The sequence below is a fragment of the Homo sapiens genome, chromosome 10 (genome assembly GCF_000001405.40).
Source record: "Homo sapiens chromosome 10, GRCh38.p14 Primary Assembly".
Classification (NCBI taxonomy): Eukaryota; Metazoa; Chordata; class Mammalia; order Primates; family Hominidae; genus Homo; species Homo sapiens.
In genome coordinates, this window is record NC_000010.11 from 37,393,817 (window position 1) to 37,415,283 (window position 21,467).

Below are 21,467 nucleotides of genomic sequence, written 5' to 3' on the forward strand. Positions count from 1 at the left end.
AAGGCCATGCTGTTGGTTCTAAGTAAAATGATAAAGATGTTCAGCCAGGTGAATTTTAGATTTGTGAATGTTCTGCTGTGTTGGTATACTGTTTAGATTTGTCTTCTTATGTGTAAGGAAGAGTATAGCCTGTGGATGAGAATGCAGACTTTTGAGCTGGACTCTTTGAATTCTGACTCTGACTTAGTGGCTGTGTGATCTGGATCAGGTGAATCAACCTTTCTGTATTTCAGTTTCCTCATCTGTGAAATAGGTACAGAAATAGTGCCTACCTCATAGGGTTGTTGGAAAGATTAAATTACTGAATATATAAAAAGCCTCTTTTAATGCAATACACATTGGCTGCTGTTGTTGCTCCTTCCTGTAATATACAATAACCTTAGTGTTGTTTACATGGTGGAGACATCTAGGCTATCTTCTCTTGTGATTATCACCATATAGTAATCTGGATTTAGAATTTGGTGATCCAATGCTACATCAACAGTCTGTCTTCCTGACAATAATGAATCCAATCTCATTGTTGGTAATATTGATATTTGTAGATCTGGAGTGCATTAAGGTTTGCACCAAGATGAAGCACCTATTGATGGATTCACCCATTGCTTCAAGCTAAGCTCTTTATGATGGCTAAAAGAACCACAGACTATTCCCATTTAGTTCATTTTATATCATTCATGCACCTCTTATCATGCTAGATATAATGTATATTGATATAATTAAACAAAGAATAGTGGTGCTGTTTCTATGACTTAATTTTCTCTCATCCTATAAAGTGGATTTATCTTTTGATCATATGTTCTGGAGTGGAAGACACTCTTAGTGGAATAGGAGTTATGATAACATACATAACACGTTCAAGTCTGCTTTGAAGGAAGTAAGCAGTTTTTTAAGACAACACAATTTGAATGAGCTGCAACTTGACTCTCCTCTTTTGCTGTATCCTGGATGTGAATAGGAGGAGAAACTGGTGCAAGTTGTTGTTAAAAAAATTATTCTCCTTTTTCATTAAGTGCCATCTGCTCTATAATTTAAGGGGTTGTTATGCCCAGAGTGAATCTGGGGAATTCAACAGTCTTCTCCATAACAGCCTTATAATTAGCTGGATGATAAAAGTAAAGGTGTGCTGAGATTTACATACTTTATTCCAACTATCACAGGGAGGGAGGGAGGGAGGGAAAAAAGGGGAAACACTTCTGTTTTGCATTTTGATCAGCTCAGGGAGCTTTCCTTTAATTGGAGGATGGATATAGCAGGAGGGTTGAAGAACTTAGAGCGTAAATGCCTATTTTTGAAAGTCATCTTCAAAAATAAGACAGTTGTGTTGAATGATTTGGGGATCCTTTTTTCTAGCATCTGAAAATTAACCATGTGTTTAATTCCACAGGTTGATTTCTTTAGGTCCCCACCACCCACCATGAGATTGGACAAGTCTAGTGGGAAGTGGTCTAGAGGTGATGGATCTTCTAGGATTGCAATCAGAGCTGGCTTCATGAGTGTGCACAGGGGTCCCACACATGAATGAGTACTTTCCTTCACTGTCTTAAAATTCTTAATAGTGTTTGAACAAGGTATCCCAGATTCATTTTCATTTGCACTGGGCCCCACAAATTATGTAGCCAGATTAGGTTACAGTCAACATTTGGACAATGTTAACTCTATTTATTGCACACTATTTTTCTAAGATAACTAGTAGAAATGCTTGCATGTCAGAAATGTTGTTGTTAAAATATCTGATGACTTAAGCTGTCTTACATTTAGGCTGATATCTCTCCTTACATCTTTTCTGCCATTAACATTAGGGATTAGATAGATCAAACAAGGCAAGGAGAACTCAAGAAAGTCTGGTCACTTCAGTGAGTGTTGGTGTGTGAGGAGAATCAAGTGAGAAGTGCTTTTAGAAACATCCATGCAGGTATGAAGGAGCTCTAACATGCCAGGTGAGTGGACAAGGCTTGGGGAAGGTTGACGATACCTAGAGACATGTCAGCCTTTGGGTCAGAGCCTGCCTAATCTCATGGGGAACTGATGGGTGGAATAGGCACTCTAGGCTCCCCCTGGCATGGGCAGGGTTGCAGAGAATTCAGAAATTTGTGTGTGTTCACGGAGGGGAGGCCAAGCTTCTGACTGTTGAAGTTAGGGTCAGAATGGAGAGGCAAGCATGTGTGTGAGGGACTCTGAGATGGGAGGCTGACAATTAGGACAATGGGCTTTGCCCATGGAGCCAGAATGTTACCCTGCGAGGGTGAATGGCACTGGGCCACATATCTCAGTGGTCAGATCCAGGATCTCAGCAGTCACTCCTATCAATCAGAGATCGGACCATGGCAGGCACACTCAGCAAAGTCCCCCATGATCCAGAAGACATGTGCGAATTCTGCATCATCTTCCCCTCCATAATCCTGAGGACAGTGAGAGCCAAGGTAAGGACCTTGACACACAGATTCGTTACCAGGAGGAATTCTTTGCCTACTGAATCATTCTGAATATATCGGATTTGTCTAAATAGATCCCACCTGCCCTCCCATCTACTCTTCTCCAGTAAAGAGGCTTACGTGGAAGATTAGATCTGTTACCAAAAATAAATTTTAAATAAAAGCCAAACTCTTTTTGTATATTTTGTGACAAAATACCTCTGAAGTATTTGTTTCAAAGATAAAATAATAAATTTTGGCATCTGCTAGGTGTGTCTGGTAGACCTCTTATAATGTTCCCCATGATCCCATCTCCCCCTTTTCTCTCTTCCTCTCTCTTCCTTCTCCTTCTTCCTCCAATGCCCCTAATTCTGGGAATTACTCTGAAAATAAGTAGGAAATCTGTGATCTTCATTTACTCCTTATTTTATTTTATTTTATTTATTTTTATTTTTTGAGACAGAGTCTGGCTCAGTTGTCCAGGCAGGAGGGCAGTGGTATGATCTCGGCTCACTGCGATCTCCGCCTCTTGGGTTCAAACAATTCTCCTGCCTCAGCCTCCCAAGTAGCTGGGATTACAGATGCCCACCACCACGCTTGGCTAATTTTTTTTTTTTTTTTTTGTATTTTTAGTAGAGACGGGGATTCACCATGTTGGCCAGGCTGGTCTCGAACTCCTGACCTCAGGTGATCTGCCTGCCTCAGCCTCCCAGTGTTGGGATTACAGGCATGAGCCACCGTGCCCAACTATCACAGGGAAGGAGGGAAAAACGGGGAAACGATTCTGTTTTGCATTTTGATCAGCTCAGGGAGCTTTCTTTAACTGGAGGAAGGATATAGCAGGAGGGTTGAAGAACTTAGAGCGTAAATGCTCTAAGAGAGAAGGAAGAGAGAGGAAGAGAGAAAAGGGGGAGATGGGATCATGGGGAATATTATAAGAGGTCTACCAGACACACCTAGTAGATGCTGACTCCTTATTTTTGAAGAAAAATTGGCTTTGTTATATTTGTTTGCAGGCAGACTTATTAGGGCAAATATTTGCATAATAAGGGTTTTTGGTTTCTTCCAATTATATCCTCAGCTATGCCTGCAGTGTTTCTCCCATCTACATCTGGGACAATATTTGCATGAGGTTGCAGAAAACCAGTGGTTCTCAAACTCTGCTGCACATTAGGGTCACCTGGGGAGCCTTAAAAGTATAGATGTCCAGGACTTGTTCCTTTCCAATTAAGCCAGAACATGGGATGGGGAGCAGGCACCAGCATCAGGGGTTTTTTAAACTTCCCAAGAGATCCCAGTGTGCAACCAAGCTGAGAACAAGAGTTCAAGACAGCAGTGCTTTCCAAACCTGCTTGATTATAAGAATTACCCATGGTCTTTTTAAACTACGAAAATTACCTGGCCTCTTCCATAGAAATTTGGGTTCAGCAGGTCTAGGTTTGGGGCTAAGACTGTATATTTTTAACTAGCAGGCAAAAAGAACTGGAGGAAGCAGTTTTTGTCTAGTGCAGATGAGTTTTTGGGGGATTGGCGAGAATTTCAGAAGTTGTTTTTTAAGGGATACAAAATAAGAAAGTGAGAAAAGAGAAATGGATTAAGTGCAGCAGTAATTTATGTGTCTGGATTTCCTTCTCACCTTCTGAGAGAAACGCAAGTGAAGGACTGAAGTTATTTTACAATTACTTTTGGAGGTGTGCTGTGCTTTACTGAATAAGAAATTTCTCCCAACTGGACTATATGAGTCTAATGCAGTTTTAAGGAAAAAGGAGGCAGAGACATGTTTGGATGAAGAAGGCTATAGAGAGAGGGTTGGAAGTTTTAGGTACACCGGGAAAGTTTGAAGCAGCTCCCCAGGAGAATCAGGGAGGGACCTCATCACAGATATGGTACAGAGGTGCTCATCTGTGTGAGATAATGACTGAGCTAGAATATCCTCAGTTTCTAGTAGCCCCTGTCTGAATGGTTCTGTGATTTTTTTCACAGGATTGCTTAGCCACACAGGTGTAGCAGTGGGGGAAGCAGAAAGCTAGATGAATCCATGGATGGAATTTTTCAGGAGAGTAACATAGGGCATGAAGGTGAGAGAACCGAGTGTGCTGGAAAGAGGATGATTATTTGGGGATGGTAGTTGCTTTAGCTCTCTATTGCCACAGTGTTGCTGCATAGCAAACCACCACAATCCTCAACTGCATGCATTGGTAAGCTCTTTTGCTCATGGGTCTGGGATGTAGGAAAAGCTGTCATTGCTCATGTGTCTGTGATGCAGGTAGGTGACCCTGCTGGTCTTGGCTGGGTTTGTTCATATGTCATGGATTTGCTGGCTGCCTGCCGGCCCTGGAAGTCCTCAGCTAGGGTGATAGAATCAAAGTATGATGTTGAGACAAAGGTACATGGCAGAGTATGCACAAATGGCAGGTGGAACTTTGGGGCTATTTTTGCTGTCTACCACAGTAGCTGCCAATACATTTTAGCATCCTTTTGAAAACATTTCAACTTATGTTAAATTCTGGGGATACATGGGCAGGTTTGTAACACAAGTATATTACATGATGCTGAAGTTTGGGGTATGGGTGATTCTATCACCTGGGCGTGTGCATAGTACCCAATAGGTAGTTTTCCAGCCCACACCCCCTCCCTTTCTCCCTCCTCTGGTAGTCCCCACTGTCTATTGTTGCCATCTTTATGTCCACATGTACCCAATGTTTAGCTCCCACTTCTAAGTGAGAATATGCAGTGTTTGGTTTACTATTCCTGCATTAATTCACTTAGGATCACGGCCTCCGGCCACATTCATGTTGCTGCAAAGAACATGATTTTATTCTTTTTTAAGGCTGTGTAGTATTCCATGGTATATATGTATTACATTTTCTTTATCCAGTCCACCATTTATGGACATCTGTGTTGATCCCATGTCTTTGCTATTGTGAATAACACTTTTACCATCATTTGAAAGCATACTTTTATAAGGAACTATTTGTACAGATAAAACAAAATATGGAGAAAAGTCATTCAGATCTTTTCTGTTTAAAATGCTTGATATTACTACCTAATAAAACCTCAACCATCTAAAATAAAACCTCAACCATCTTAAGCAACTAAAGCAAGAAATACTATTTTTTCATTGTTCCTTTTTATCATGGGCCATGTGTGTATGTATCTCTTTTATGGATCTCAATCAGGATTCATTCACCATTTTCAAGATATAAAATGTGAGAGTTAAAATTAAATTCTGCCTCTCTCAAATCATTTCTGGTATTAAGTTTCCTTCAGGACATCCTTTTTTTTGAAAAATGAGTTAAGATATGCAAAAGAACTTTGTACTTTGTCTTCACTATAAAAGTGCCTGGAGTGAACTTCTCTACTCAAGCTAAATTGTTAATTAGTTCAAGGTACACCAGAGATGTGATCTTGGAATCTTCTGATAGCCAACATTTATTAAAACAGTAGTCATTGGTCTTGATTAGATTTATGTGTGTATGTGGGTGGGCGGTGGGCAGCTTAGAGTAATTTTAATTATAAAAAATTAAAATTACTTAGAGTAATTTTAATTATAAAAAATTATAAAATTTTTAGTGTTATAAAGACTAGTGTTGGACAGTTGCAGTGGCTCACACCTGTAATTCCAGCACTTTGGGAATCCAAGGAGGGCGGATCACCTGAGGTCAGGAGTTTGAGACCAGCCTGGCCAACATGGTGAAACCCCATCTGTACTAAAAAATACAAAAAACAAAACAAAACAAAAATCAGCCGGGCGTGGTGGCGGGTACCTGTAATCCCAGCTACTTGGGAGGCCGAGGCAGGAGAATTTCTTGAACCCAGGAGGAGGAGGTTGCAGTAAGCCGAGATCATGCAACTGCACTCCAGCCTGGGCAACAGAGTGAAACTGTGTCTTAAAAAAAGAAAGAAAAAAAAAAAAAAACTAGTGTGGAAGAATTTGACAATAGTTGGCTACCTAACAAAACCCACTAATACCACTTTAAATCAGAATTTCGTGAAGGGTACGGCCTCATCTTGAGACATATTCTTTTTCATCCTCATATGCACATTTGATTTCTCTACAATTGACACTGTTTATGAGACCTATTATATATTTTCGTAAGATCTTACCCTTCTTCTGTTATAGAAGTTGCTTGCAATTCTTGGTGTGATTAGACTGGGTTTCCTTCCCTAATGGATGGTGAGATTCATGGGGGCTAAGCTCTGTGAGCTTTGCTCGTGTTGCTGGAATCTCAGCCACTGACACAGTGCAGGGCCTCAGTGAACACTGTTGCATGAACAGGTGCATGAGATGCTTCTTCACAAGGACGAAACAGGTACCTCCTGCCTTGAGTGATTTAAAGCATTTTAAGATATGCTTTGCTGCCTCTAGATATTTCTCTGGTTAGATCCCCACAAAGATACTGTAACATTAAGTTCTGGGACCATTTGAGAGCAAACTAGCTGCTCACAGATTCCTGAAAGAAATGCAAAACCTTTTCTCTGGCCCCAGGTACTCAGCTTACTTTTTTCCCCTTCATCTCTTTTTGCCTTGCCAACCTGGAAACCCCATGGAATTATTTGTCCCAGCTCTTATCTCTGAGGGTAGAACTCAATCACCACCCACCCTTAGTTTCTGTTTCTGCAGAGCCAATCACAATAGAATAGCAATAATTTGCATCTCCAAGCTTCTGTGACCTGGATGCATGGCATTTTCTGAGACTCTGGCCTCAAGGGTGCACAGCTCCCCTGCAGGCTGCCCCTCTGAGTCCCTGCTGGGCTTCAGGCTGGACAGCTCTGCCTTCCTGGCCCTAGGGATATCCCTGTGATCGACATAGCTTGGCTTCAGTGAAAAAACACAAAGTGCCAGGTCTTTCACTTTGGTTTATTTTTTTCCCCTTCATTTGCAAACAGAAGAAAAACTATTTTACCCTTGCGTTTTATCAAAAGATACACATATATATGTTTTATTTGACATATTTAAAGCAAGAGAATAGGATCACTTCTTCCCATAGCCTCTTAGCTTGTAGACAGGGCCTTTTTAAAAATATTCATGCATTTATAGATATGTGGAAACACACAGCTACAACGACAGGTTTTTCAGTTCTCAGATTTTTTTTTTTTCTAATCTGCCTCCAGCACTGGCCTAAGCCTTCCCAGAACCCCAAGTGAATATTACTGGAAGCCTCAGGAGAGAGTCTCCAGCTAGATCTGCATTTGTACAACTGTTGGGATTCTGCCTCCTTTTAGGTCTTAAATCAGCCATTGACAGGTTTACAACATAAAGCCAAGAGGGAACTCTCTCAGGTATTCAAGCCTGGAAACAAGTAGAGATAAAAAAAGATAGTAGCATTTGAGGCAAACGCACTGTCTTTAAGCTAGACTAGAGTACGTTTGGGTGAGTACTTTTCCAGGAGTTCTGTTAGCGATATGGGGAAGGCCAAATACTTTCAGAACTGCATGTTTCCTTCTTTGACCTTTATAAATAGGGAATATCCAAACAGGATGTTAAGGAGATTTCCTGTCAGCTGCAAATAAGCAAAAGGAATGGGATGGAAGGTTTTTATTCCTTAGTCCTCAACTTGTTCTTAGTCAGATATCTCTGCCCCCGTGATAAAGGCCCAAAGGGAAATTTCATCTTCTTGGTGTCGGGTTGGGGCCTGTGGTCTAGAAGTAGGTGGTGAGGTTAAAGAGAAACAGCCTTAAACTGTTTTCCCTTTCCTTCCTTCCTTCCTTCTTCCTTCCTTCCTTCCCTTCCCTTCCTCCCTCCTTTATTTTCCTTCCTTCCTCCTTCCTTCCCTCCCTCCCTCCCTCCTTTCTTTTCCTTCCTTCCTTCCCTCCCTCCCTCCCTCCTTTCTTTCCCTTCCTTCCTTCCTTCCCTCCTTCCCTCCCTTTCTTTCCCTTCCTTCCTTCCTTCCTTCCTTCCTTCCTTCCTTCCTTCCTTCCTTCCCTCCCTCCCTCTCTCCCTCCTTCCTTCTTTCCCTCCCTCCTTCCTTCCTTCCTTTTTGGCCACTCCTTGTTGTCCCCCAAATCATCTTGTTCTTTTATTTTTGGAGGTGGTTGTTATTATTTATTGAAATCTGTAAGATCAAGAGCAGCATGTCAAAAGGGTTGCCTACTAGGTTATTTGATTGAGATGACTTCAATATCCTGAACTCCTGTGTATTATTTTAGGAGAATGCACTGTTAATTATCAGCTAATAACTTATTTATTATGTACTTACTGTAATGTTTGTTGAGCCCTGTAAGAAATATGTAAGTGAATAAAATCTAGTCCCTGCCTTCAAAAAACTTCAATTTAGGGAAGAAAAACAATACACATCTAAAAAGATAACTGTACCAAGACAATTAGTACCATGTGTGGCCTAGACAGGGAGGCGTTTAAGGGCAGTGCTGGCATAACATGGCCCCTCGCAGCTCTGCTGACTATTTTTTCTGTGCTTGTCATCACTGACAGTCTGTGGCCTGGAGCTTCTGTAGGAATGTTAATCATAAATACCAGGTTTCTGTTTGTAGCAAAGCTGTGAAATTCAGCACTAGCAAGGTATTTCAAAGTTCCAGATGAAATCCCTTGAGGTAGCATGTGAAAAGGACCCATATTTGCTAAAGCGACTTGGAGTGAAAATCAATGTCTGGCAAAAGATCCCCACTGGGTGAAGTATGGGAAGTGCTCTCTCGTCTCCCCTCTCTTTTATTCTCATTCCCTTTTTGTCTCATCTCTCCCTCATTTCCTCTGACCCTTTTGCTCATTTTAATAGCTTTCCCAGTCTAATTGGGATCCCCTGCAACAGAGGGGTCAGAAAAGGCTGGAAGAGAAAGGAGGGCTATTCTGAATGAGGAAGGCAGGATCCTATTACAGAGGCAATTTGCCCATAAGTGAAATTTCACGTCTAACAAATATACTTCCCTATTCCAAATTCACTCGATTAAAACTCAACTACATCATCTAACTGTACTCAGTGAAGTAGAGTAACTCTTGGGATATAATTTTGAGTGTTCTCATTATAATTGCTAAATCATAAAATGAGTCAATTCACACTGGGTCTGTAGAGCATTAATATCTAATAATGAAGTTCTACCATGGTGGGAATTCTACTCAGTTCTTCTTCTTCCAAGATATTTCCATTAACCCTTGATGAACAAAATATATAGAGTCTCAAGGAGTCAGATTTTCTGGTTCTTTTGGATGCTCAATTAGTTTGTACAAGGTCATATTTAAGATGATTGGGCAAGGCTTTTGTAGGAGTGGAAAAGGCTGAAAGAATCATAGCAAAGCACAAGACAGGATGGTTGTGGGTGTGTGAGTTGGTTTGTTTTTATTTTAGAACTTTGAAGACAACATCATGGAGCAGAAAAAAGGGGACACAGGATAGGTATATACCTGCTGGAAAGGTATGACCTCTTGGGTTGGCTTTCGATAGGCAATTACAAGTGATAGAATTACATTGTAGAACTTTGAAATCTAGTTATGAGGCTGAAATACGTGGAAGTGAAATGTAAAATGTGACTCTTTTGACACCACTGATTATTGTTGCAGCTAAAATCTAATCCTCTTTTTGTTGGTGATACTATTTACATAGAGGTTGCTTTTCCCTACACATCTTTTTCTTATCATAGCTGTGGGATGAGTGTGATATTTTTTATTTAATAGTATAAACTCAGTGGTGATGTAGCTCCCAAATCCCCCGGGAAGGAGGTAGAAGCCTTAATCTACTCTACCTAAGTGGGTGAGTCATTCTCTGTGTCTCTAGTAATAGTTGTTTCCAGAGCTCTGGGCGTGGGAGAATACATAGTGATCTCAGGACAGGAAATGGCTAGCCCTCAACTGAAGCCATCATCACTGAAGGTGAAAAATCTTAACTTTAACAGTAGAAACCATGTGGTTGTCAGGTTTTCAGGAAAACAAAGAGGAGATTAAATGTGTGGGTGGCATGGGAAGGGTGAGTTGGTATGGGTTGGGAAAGGCAGCAACAACTTCATTTCCCTGAGCAGTTTCCATTGTAATCAATGTATTGGGTCAGCACCAACCTCTACCTGAGGTAAAATATTTAACGCATGTTTCTGTCAGCCTTGGAATATGCTTTGCCCTCTTAGGTTTATATTTGTGAGTTTGGGGTCTGGGTTAGGCCCAAAACTAGTGGCCTAGCCTTAGGCCAACCTCTTCCATGAGGTGTGTTTTTTTTTTTTTTCTTTTGACTGAGTCTCCTCTGTTGCCCAGGCTGGAATGCAATGGTGCAATCTCAGCTCACTGCAACCTCTGCCTACCGGGTTCAAGCGATTCTCCTGCCTCAGCCTCCTGAGTAGCTGGAATTACAGGCACGCGCCACCATGCCCAGCTAATTTTTTTGTATTTTTAGTAGAGATGTCATTTCATCGCGTTAGCCAGGATGGTCTCAATCTCCTGACCTCGCAATCCGCCCACCTTGTCCTCCCAAAGTGCTGGGATTAAAGGCGTTGAGCCACTGCACCTGGCCCTTCCATGAGTTTTATATCCAGCTACAGCCTCTGAGGACCCAATTATATGAAGTTTTCTGAACTGAAACAAAATTCAGGAGCGTGACCAGAGAAAAGGCTCCATTTTCCCCCTCACTGTTGCCCTAGTCCTGGGGAAATTAACATGGTGGACAGTTATCTCTGACCTTCTCTCAGCAGTTGATTGTACAAAATGGGGGAGTAAGACATAACCACAGGTTCTCTTCCTGCAGAAAAGAAGCTGGAAATGGATCCTCTCTTTTATAAAAATATTCCACAATGACCAATGTGAAGCAGCATTATCGAGAGCATGCATTCTCAGCAGGGGCGACTTACCCCTAAGGAGCAACAACTGCTCCTTGAGGATGGGGCAAAAAAAATATCAAATACTCAATGGTGCGTAGGCTTCCAGGGGTCCACAACACACAGCACTGCTACAGAGCACATCACCAGCGTTCAAATGTTATGGATTGTGTGGGGTTGCAATTAGGAAAAACGAAATCTCTGAAAAGGCTCTTTAAGGGTACCATAATTAAAGTATGGTTAAAAATCATTGGTCCAGGGTAAGGTATGATTTTAGGAGCTGCAGGATTGATAGCTATTTGCGTACACTTCTCCATGGAGCATTGACACAATTCGTAACTTTTTCAAAAGAAAATAGAATCCAGGAATTTTTGATATGGAAAGAGTTCAGTATCTAAAACTAACAGTAAGAAAAACCTTTTAAAAAATAATATCATCCTTGAGGCACAGGAGTCTTACTCTCTCTGAAGTATTCCCTCAAGTACATTTAAAAAAAAAGGACAATGTTCAGATCCAAGAGGCTGGACAGAAACAAGTGCCTGTAATTATTCCTGATACGTTAATCCTGAAGATGAACGTGAGCTGTCTTGGTATCTATGGGAAAAAGATCCATTATCTAGTACATAGTTCTGTGTGGGTTTCTGAAAGTGGACACATTTTACTCTGGATCTAGTCTTTTAAACTACATACTGGTAAATGTTGACAATTGAGAACACTGCTTCTGTTTTGTAATGTAGTATAACCCAAGAGATTTGTCTGTATTTATAGAAGTTCTTTTCAGAGGTAACCAAATCAAACTCTTTAAAAATATTGCCATTTGCATTTCCGTGATTTTAATTAATTTAGTTTAGTATTATCTGTCTGTTTTTTATTGGATAATCTTGATATACAATATTCAGTTTTACTCACCATCTATTATTTTGATTGCACAGAATAATGAAATTATGTTATTTTTAAGTATATTCAAAAACCTTTGTTTAGAAATTATTATATTTTTATAAGAAGGTGTTAATTGTTTGGTTCTTATTAAAACCTAGTAGTCATTTATAGAAAAATTATCGATAATGTTGTAGGAGAATAGTATTAAAGATAGAAAGCTTATACCCCCTGATTTCACCATAGGAACTTAAACTTTGATAAATGAAGGCTTGGCTCTACTTCTGCAGAAATTGCAATATAGACAATTCTAGCCTAAAGTGAGGGGAAAGTTGTTTCTGTTTAGGTTTAAAAATTGTGAAGCAAAATCTTGTAGGCCTAAATAGGAGTTAAAATAGACCAGTATCTTTTGCCCAATGGATCTCAAAAATAAATGAACAGGTACTGAAAAGAATATTCTTTAATGTCAAATTTCAATCTTGATCTTTAATAAGGTTATAGCAGGAAAATTATGAAGGGCCTTAAGAAAAATCATTCTGAAAATAAATCAGACCTCTGATTTCCAGTCTGGTATATAAGCTTGGAAGTCATGCCATAGCCCCATCCTAATACCAAGTAGAAAGCAGAACAAACTGAAAATCAAAAACTCTTTGTAGAACCTTCAGACAAGGGAGGACGTAGGGCAAGCCTCTGCATCTTGGATTGGAGAGACAGACAGGAAAATACAGAGAATTACAACCTGCCAGAGTGGAGAGCCACAAGCAGAAACATCCGGGGAAACAAGCACAAGGGCATGGAAACCTGAACTGTAATTAGTGAATTGCTGAAGGCTCAGTGTGGACAAGTCTGAGAGTCAAGAACTCCAGGGGGCCCAGTCATAGGGGCACCCTCCAATCCTTGCAATTTTGTGAGCTTCACCTCTAGGAGCTCAGCTCTTCTAAGTTCTCACAGTGACTGTCTGAGAAAAATCCTCTCATTCTTCCAGCAGAGAAGAAAAAGTAACCATTTTGAAATATGTCAGAAATGTCTGTTCTTGAAAAGGCCTGCCCACAGGAGAAACTATCTTCCCAGTGCCTAACCAACCTGAGGGAAGGCAAATTCCTATTTCCAGCCCCTTCTAGCAATCCTGTCTCACATAAGTGGGGAGAAAACTGAGAAACACTGGTAAAACCCACAGACCAGGGGCACAGGCTCACCTTAACCTAATCATAAAACTACACAGCACTTTCCTTCCCTCTGCCCCTTACTACTACATCATTACATGCCTCATTACCAGACTTCCTTAAATAGGAATAAACTAGGTGTTGATGGAACGTATCTCAAAAAAATAAGAGCTATCTATGACAAACCCACAGCCAATATGATACTGAATGGGCAAAAACTGGAAGCATTCCCTTTGAAAACCAGCACAAGACAAAGATGCCCTCTCTCACCACTCCTATTCAATATTGTGTTGGAAGTTCTGGCCAGGGCAGTCAGGCAAGAGAAAGAAATAAAGAGTATTCAATTAGGAAAAGAGGAAGTCAAATTGTCCCTTTTTGCAGATGACATGATTGTATATTTACAAACCCCCATTCTCTCAGCCCAAAATCTCCTTAAGCTGATAAGCAACTTCAGCAAAGTCTCAGGATACAAAATCAATGTGCAAAAATCACAAGCATTCCTATACACCAATAACAGACAAACAGAGAGCCAAATCATGAGTGAACTCCCATTCACAATTGCTACAAAGAGAATAAAATACCTAGGAATCCAACTTACAAGGGATGTGAAGGGCCTCTTCAAGGAGAACTGCAAAGCACTGCTCAACAATATAAAAGAGGACACAAACAAATGGAGGAACATTCCATGTGCATGGGTAGGAAGAATCAATATCATGAAAATGGCCATACTGCCCAAGGTAATTTATAGATTCAATGCTATCGCCATCAAGCTACCAATGACTTTCTTCACAGAATTGGAGAAAACTACTTTAAAGTTTATATGGAACCAAAAAAGAGCCCACATTGCCAAGACAATCCTAAGCAAAAAGAACAAAGCTGGAGGCATCATGCTACCTGACTTCAAACTATACTACAAGGCTACAGTAACCAAAACAGCACGGTACTGGTACCAAAACAGAGATATAGACCAATGGAACAGAAAAGAGCCCTCAAAAATAACACCACACATCTACAACCATCTGATCTTTGAAAAACCTGACAAAAAAAAGCAATGGGGAAAGGATCCCCTATTTAATAAATGGTGCTGGGAAAACTGGCTAACAATATGTAAAAAGCTGAAACTGGATCCCTTCCTTACACCTTTTACAAAAATTAATTCAAGATGGATTAAGGACGTAAATGTTAGACCTAAAACCATAAAAACTCTAGAAGAAAACCTAGCCTCAATGCCATTCAGCAGGTAGGCATGGGCAAGGACTTCATGCCTAAAACACCAAAAGCAGTGGCACCAAAAGCCAAAATAGACAAATGGGATCTAATTAAACTAAAGAGCCTCTGCACAGCAACCATCAGAGTGAACAGGCAACCTACAGAATGGGAAAACATTTTTGCAATCTACTCATCTGACAAAGGGCTGATATCCAGAATCTGCAAAGAACTTAAACAAGTTTACAAGAAAAAAACAACCCCATCAAAAAGTGCACGAAGGATATGAACAGACACTTCTCAAAAAAAGACATTTATGTAGCCAACAGACACATGAAAAAATGCTTATCATCACTGGTCACCAGAGAAATGCAAATCAAAACCACAATGAGATACCATCTCACACCAGTTAGAATGGTGGTCATTAAAAAGTCAGGAAACAACAGATGCTGGAGAGGATATGGAGAAATAGGAATGTTTTTACACTGTTGGTGGGAGTGTAAATTAGTTCAACCATTGTGGAAGACAGTGTGGTGATTCCTCAAGGATCTAGAACTAGAAATGCCATTTGACCCAGCAATCTCATTACTGGGTATATACTCAAAGGATTGTAAATCATGCTACTATAAAGACACATGCACACGTATGTTTATTTTGGCACTATTCACAATAGCAAAGACTTGGAACCAACCAAAATGTCCATCAATGATAGACCAGATTAAGAAAATGTGGCACATATATATCACAGAATACCACGCAGCCATAAAAAAGGATAAGTTCATGTCCTTTGCAGGGACATGGATGAAGCTGGAAACCATCATTCTCAGCAAACTATCACAAGGACAGAAAACCAAACACCACATGTTCTCACTTATAGGTGGGAATTGAACAATGAGAACACTTGGACACATGGTGGGGAACATCACACACCAGGACAGGTTGGGAGGTGGGAGCTGTGGGAGGGATAGCATTAGGAGAAATACCTAATGTAAATAATGAGTTGAGGGTGCAGCAAACCAACATGGCACATGTATACCTATGTAACAAATCTGCACGTTGTGCACATGTACCCTGGAACTTAAAGTATAATAATTTTTAAAAAGTAAAGAAGAAAAGAAAGAAAAAAAATTGATAGGATCTTGCTTTGTCCCCCAGGCAGGAATGCAATGGCACTATCATAGCTTACTGCAGCCTTGAACTTCTGGACCCAAGTGATCCTCCTGCCTCAGTCCTCTTTGTAGCTGGAACCAGAAGTGTGTACCACTATGCCTGGCTAATATTTTTATTTTTTTATTTTTGTAGAGACAGGGTCTTGTTATGTTGCCCAGGCTGTTCTCAAACTCCTATCCTCAAGCCATCCTCCCATCTCAGCCACTCAACTTGCTGGAATTACCAGCGGAAGCCACTGTGCCCAGCCCAGACTCCCTTTTACCTAGTATATCATGTCTAATTTCTAACAAAAAATTAAAAAAACATTGTAAGAGGAAAAAAAGAAACCCTAAAACAAACAAGCAAACAAAAAACCCAAAACAACAAAAAGTTTCAAGAAACAGAGCTAGCTGACAGAACTATATTCAGATATGGCAGGTATATTAGAATTATCAGATTGGTAATTTTAAACAACTATGACTAATATGGTAAGAGTGATAATGGAAAAAATAGACAATTTGCAAGAACAGATCAGTAATATAAGCAGAGAAATGGAAAGTCTAAGAAAGAATCAAATAAAAATTCTAGAGGTCAAGAAACTAACAAAAATGAAGCATGGTGTTGAAGCCTCATTAGCAGACTGGATGTGGGTGAGGAAAGAATCTGGAGCTTCAGTATATTTCAAGAGAAACTTCCAAAAATGAAAGCAAAGGGAAAAAGACTGAATAAAAAAGGAACAGAATATCCAAGAACAGTGGGACAACTATAAAAGATGTAAGTATGCATAGTGGAACCCCAGAAGGAGAGGAAAGAGAGAAAGGAATAGAAGAAATATTCAAAGCAATAATGAATGAGATTTTTCTAAATTAATATGTGACACGAAACCACAGATTCAGGAAGCTCAGAGAACAACAAACAGGATAAAAGCCAAAAAAAAAAAAAAAAAAAAAAACCACATCTAAGGCATATCATATCTAAACTGCAGGAAACCAAGGATAAAAAAATAAATCTTTGAAAGAAACCAGAGGAGGGAAAAATAAACCTTACTTATAGAGGAATAAAGATGCAAACTGCAGCTGTCTTTTCAGAAACCACGCAAGCAAGAAGAGAGTGGAATAAAAAGTACTGAGAGGAAAATCCTTCAACCTAGAATTCTGTATCCTGTGAAATTATCCTTCAAAAGTTAGGGAGAAAGACTTTCTCAGACCAACAAAAATTAATGGAATCTGTTACCAGTAGACCTGTCTTACAAGAAATGTTAAAGAAAGTTCTTTAGAAAGAAGAAATGTGATGTAGGTCAAGGAATCTCAGATCTACATAAAGGAATGCACAATGTTAGAGAAGTAGTAAGTGATGGTAAAATGGAAGTTTTTACCTTTAAAAATTCTCAGTTTATCTAACAGATAACAGTTTGTTCAAAATCGTGATAGCAACACTGAATTTAGTGATTATAGCTTATGTATAAGTGCAGTGAATGACTGCAATGGTACAAGGGACAGGAGAGAGGAATTAGTAATATTTTGTTATACCCCTGAACCTAAAATCAAAGTTGTTTAACAAAGATATCTGCCCTACTTGTAAAGTCATATTGTACTATTTGAAAGTGGATTTGCGTTAGTTATAAGTATATGTTGGAAACTGCAGGGCAACCACAAAAAAATGTAAAAAAGAAGTGTAACCAATATGCTAAGAAAAGAGAGAAAATGGAATCATAGAAAATGGTCAGTTAAAGCCATGAAAGGAAGAAACAGTTGAAAGCAAAGATAGAAAGATATGGTAGATATATGGTAGATATAAATACAACTATAACAATAATCCCCAAATGCATGAAGATTAAGCAACATAATTCTAAATAACACATGGTTCAAAGACATTTCAAAAGAAATTTTAAAAATTGAACTACATAACCATACACCTGATTAAAATTTGTGGAATACAGCAAAAATACTGTTTAAAGGAAAAGCAGAGGAAATTTTTAGCATTGAATGCATATATTAGAAGACAAGAAAGATCTAAAATCAATAATCTAAGCTTCCACTTTAGAAACTAGAAAAAGAAGAGCAAATTAAATCCAAAGTAAGCTGAAGAAAATAAATAATAAAAATTGGAGAAGAAATCAATGAAATTGAAAACAGAAAATTGATAGAGAAAAATCAATGAAATAAAAAGCTATTTTGTTTTCTTTTAAAAAGACCTCTATGAGGTCAGCATCTATCTAAAATTAAACCAAAGACATTACAAGAAAAGGAAGCTAAAAACCAATATCTCTCATGAACATAGATGAGAAAATTCTCAACAAATTATTAGCAAATTTTATCCAACAATTATGAAAAGAATTATATACCATGACCAACTAGGATTTATCCCACATCGGTAAGGCTGGTTTAACAATCCAAAATCAATTTAAGTAATCCATCTCAACAGGCTAAACAAGAAAAACTGCATGATCATATAAATAGAACCAGAAAAAGCATTTGCAAAATTCTACATTCATTCATGGTAAATCTTCAACTTGGAAAAAGACATCTACAAAAAAACCTATAGCTAACAACACACTTAATGATGAGAAACTAGAAGCTTTCCTGCTAAGATCAGGTAAGAGGCAGGGATGTTCTTTTCTCATCACTCCTTTTCAACACTTTTGGGAAGTTGAGCTAATACAATAATAAAATAAAATAAGAGGTGTACTGATTGGGAAAAAATAAAACTGTCTTTGTTTGAAGAACACATGATAATCTAGGCAGAAAATCTGAAAGAATCAACAAAATACTCCTTGATTATAGCAAGGTTGTAGGATGCAAAGTTATATACAAAAGTTAATTATTTTCCTATATGCCATCAATGAACAAGTAAAATTTCAAATTGAAAACACAAAATCATTTTCATTAGCACTTCCAAATATAAAATACCTAGGTATAAATCTAACAAAATGTGTACAATATCTATATGAAGAAAATGATAAAAATCTGGAAGAAATAAATAAATTGAGAGATATTCCATGTTCATCGATTTAAAGGCTCAATATTGTCAAGCTGTCACTTTTCCCAACTTGAGGTATAGAGTCAACACAATCCCAATCAAAATCCCAGTAAAATGTTTTTTTGGGTATGTACAACTAATATTAAAGTTTATATGGGGAGTCGAAGATCTAGAATTAGCAACATGTTACTGAGGGAGAAGAACAATAGTGGAGGTCTGACAATGCTTGACTTCAAGACTTCCTATAAAGCTAAGTAATTATTGGGGGAAGTTCAGCCCCCGATATTTTAACATGAGTCCTTTTCTACTTTCCCTAAGTGTTGGCTGGTCTGAGAAATAAAGGGAAAGAGTACAAAAGAGAGAAATTTTAAAGGTGGGTGTCCAGGGGAGACATCACATGTCGGCAGTTTCCCTGATGCCCCCCAAGCCACAAAACCAGCAAGTTTTTATTAGTGATTTCAAAAGGGGAGGGAGTGTATGAATAGGGTGTGGGTCACAGAGATCCCACGCTTCACAAGGTAATAAAATATCACAAGGCAAATGGAGGCAGGGTGAGATCACAGGACCGAGGCAAAATTAAAATTGCTAATGAAGTTTTGGGCATGGATTGTCATTGATAACATCTTATCAGGAGACAGGGTTTGAGAGCAGACAACCGGTCTGACCAAAATTTATGAGGCGGGAATTTCCTTGTCCCAATAATCCTAGGAGCGCTTCGGGAGATGGGGGCTTATTTCGTCCCCTATTAACAACCGTAAAAGACAGACAGTCCCAAACTGGCCATTTTAGAGACCTCCCCTTGGGAACGCAGTCTCCTTCTCAGGGATGTTCCTTGCTGAGAAAAAGAATTCAGTGATATTTCTCCTATTTGCTTTTGAAAGAAGAGAAATATGGCTCTGTTCTGCCTGGCTCTCAGGCAGCCAGACCTAATGGTTATCTGCCTTGTTCCCTGAACATTGCTGTTATCCTGTTCTTTTTTCAAGGTGCCCAGATTTCATATTGTTTAAACAATTTGTGCAGTTAACACAATCATCACAGGGTCCTGAGGTGACATTCATCCTCAGCTTAGGAAGATGATGGGATTAAGAGATTAAAGGAAAGACAGGCATAGGAAATCACAAGAGTATTGATTGGGGAAGTGATAAGTGTCCATGATATCTTCACAATTTATGTTCAGAGATTGCAGTAAAGACAGGCATAAGAAATTATAAAAGTATTAATTTGGGGAACTAATAAATGTCCATGAAATCTTCACAATTTCTGTTCTTCTGCTATGGCTTCAGCCAGTCCCTCCATTCGGGGTCCCTGACTTCCCGCAACAGTAATCAAGACAAAGTGGTGTTGTTAAATGAATGACCAGTAAATCAGTGAAACAAAATAAAGATCTCAGAAATAGACCATAAATATCATCAACTGATCTTGGGTAAAGAAACAAAAGCAACATAATGGAGCAAAGATAGTCTTTTCAACAAACGGAACTGGAACACTTGGACATCCATATGCATAAAAATAAATCTAGATATAGGCTTTACGCTCTTCACAAAAAATGCACTCAAAATGGATTATAGACTTAAATGTAAAGAGCAAGCTTAATAAAACTCCTAGAAGATAACGGGAGAAAATCTAGGTGACCTACACTATGGCTATGAATTTTTAGATTCAACACCAAAAGCATGATCCTTGAAAGAAATAATCGATAGGCTGGACTTTATTTACAAACTTCTGCTCTGCTGAAGAGCCTGTCAAAAAAATAAGCCAAAGATTTGGAGTAAATAGTTGCAAAAGATCTATCTGATAAAGGACTTTATCCAAAATAAGCAAAGAACTCTTAAAATTCAACAATAAGAAAGTAAACACTGTGATTTAAAAATGGGCAAAACACTTGAACAGATACTACACCAAAGGAGATATACAGATGGCAAGTGAGCAATCAAGAAGATGCTCCACATCATATCCCATTAAGGAATTGTAAATTAAAACAACAGTGAGATGCCACAACACGCCTATTAGAATCACCAAAACTCTAAACACTGGCAACATCAGGTGCTGGGGAGGAAGTAGAATAACAGGGACTCTCATTCACTGCTGGTTGGAATGAAAATGGTACAGCTGTTTTGAAAGACGGTTTGGCAGTTTCTTACAAAACTACACACTCTTGCCATACGATGCAGTAATCTCTTTAGCATGTACTTGAATGAGTTGAAAACTTATGTCCATACAAAAACCTGCACATGGATGATTACAGCAGCTTTTTAAAGAATCGCCAAGTCTTAGAAGCGACTGAGATATCCTTCAGGAGGTGAGGGGATAAACACATTGTGGTACATCCAGAGATGGAATATTATTCAGTGATGCAAAGAAATTAGCCACAAAAAGACACGGAGGGAACCTAAATGCATAATACTAAGTGAAGGAAGCCAATCTGATAAGGCTGCGCACTGTGTGATTCCAAGTATGACATCCTGGAAAAGGCAAAACTGTAGAAGCAGTAAAAGAGTTGGTGATTGCCAGGGTTTAGTGAGGAAGGAGGCATGAATAGTCAGATCACAGGGGAGTTTTAGGGCGGAGGAAATGTTCCGTATGATATTGTAATGGTAGATACGTATCACTGCCCATTTATCAGAATCCATAGCATGTACACACCAAGAGTGAACCTAATGTAAACTATGGGTAAACCATGGACTCGGGGTGAGGACAATGTGTCAATGTAGGTACATCAGTTGTAACAAATGCACCACTCTGGTGGGGGATGTTGATAATGGAGGTTGGGCATGTTGGGGGAGGGGTAGAGGGTAGATGAGAATTCTCTGTACTTTTTTTCTCAGTGTTGCTGTGGGACTAAAACTACTTTTTTTTTAAAAAAAAAAATAAAGTTCATATAGACTGGTCATGGTGGCTCACACCTATAATCCCAGAACCTTGGGAGACTGAG

General features: G+C 39.2%; 1 long non-coding RNA gene across 1 annotated transcript in view; it reads left to right on the forward strand.

Annotated features, from left to right (window-relative positions):
- Nucleotides 1–1,223: 1,223 nt before the first annotated feature.
- The window catches only part of LOC107984223 (uncharacterized), a 35,525-nt gene continuing 15,281 nt past the window's right edge, over nt 1,224–21,467 (forward strand). The window contains exon 1 of the long non-coding RNA XR_001747426.1: nt 1,224–1,937. This is a non-coding gene — a long non-coding RNA (uncharacterized LOC107984223). The remainder of the gene's footprint in view (nt 1,938–21,467) is intronic.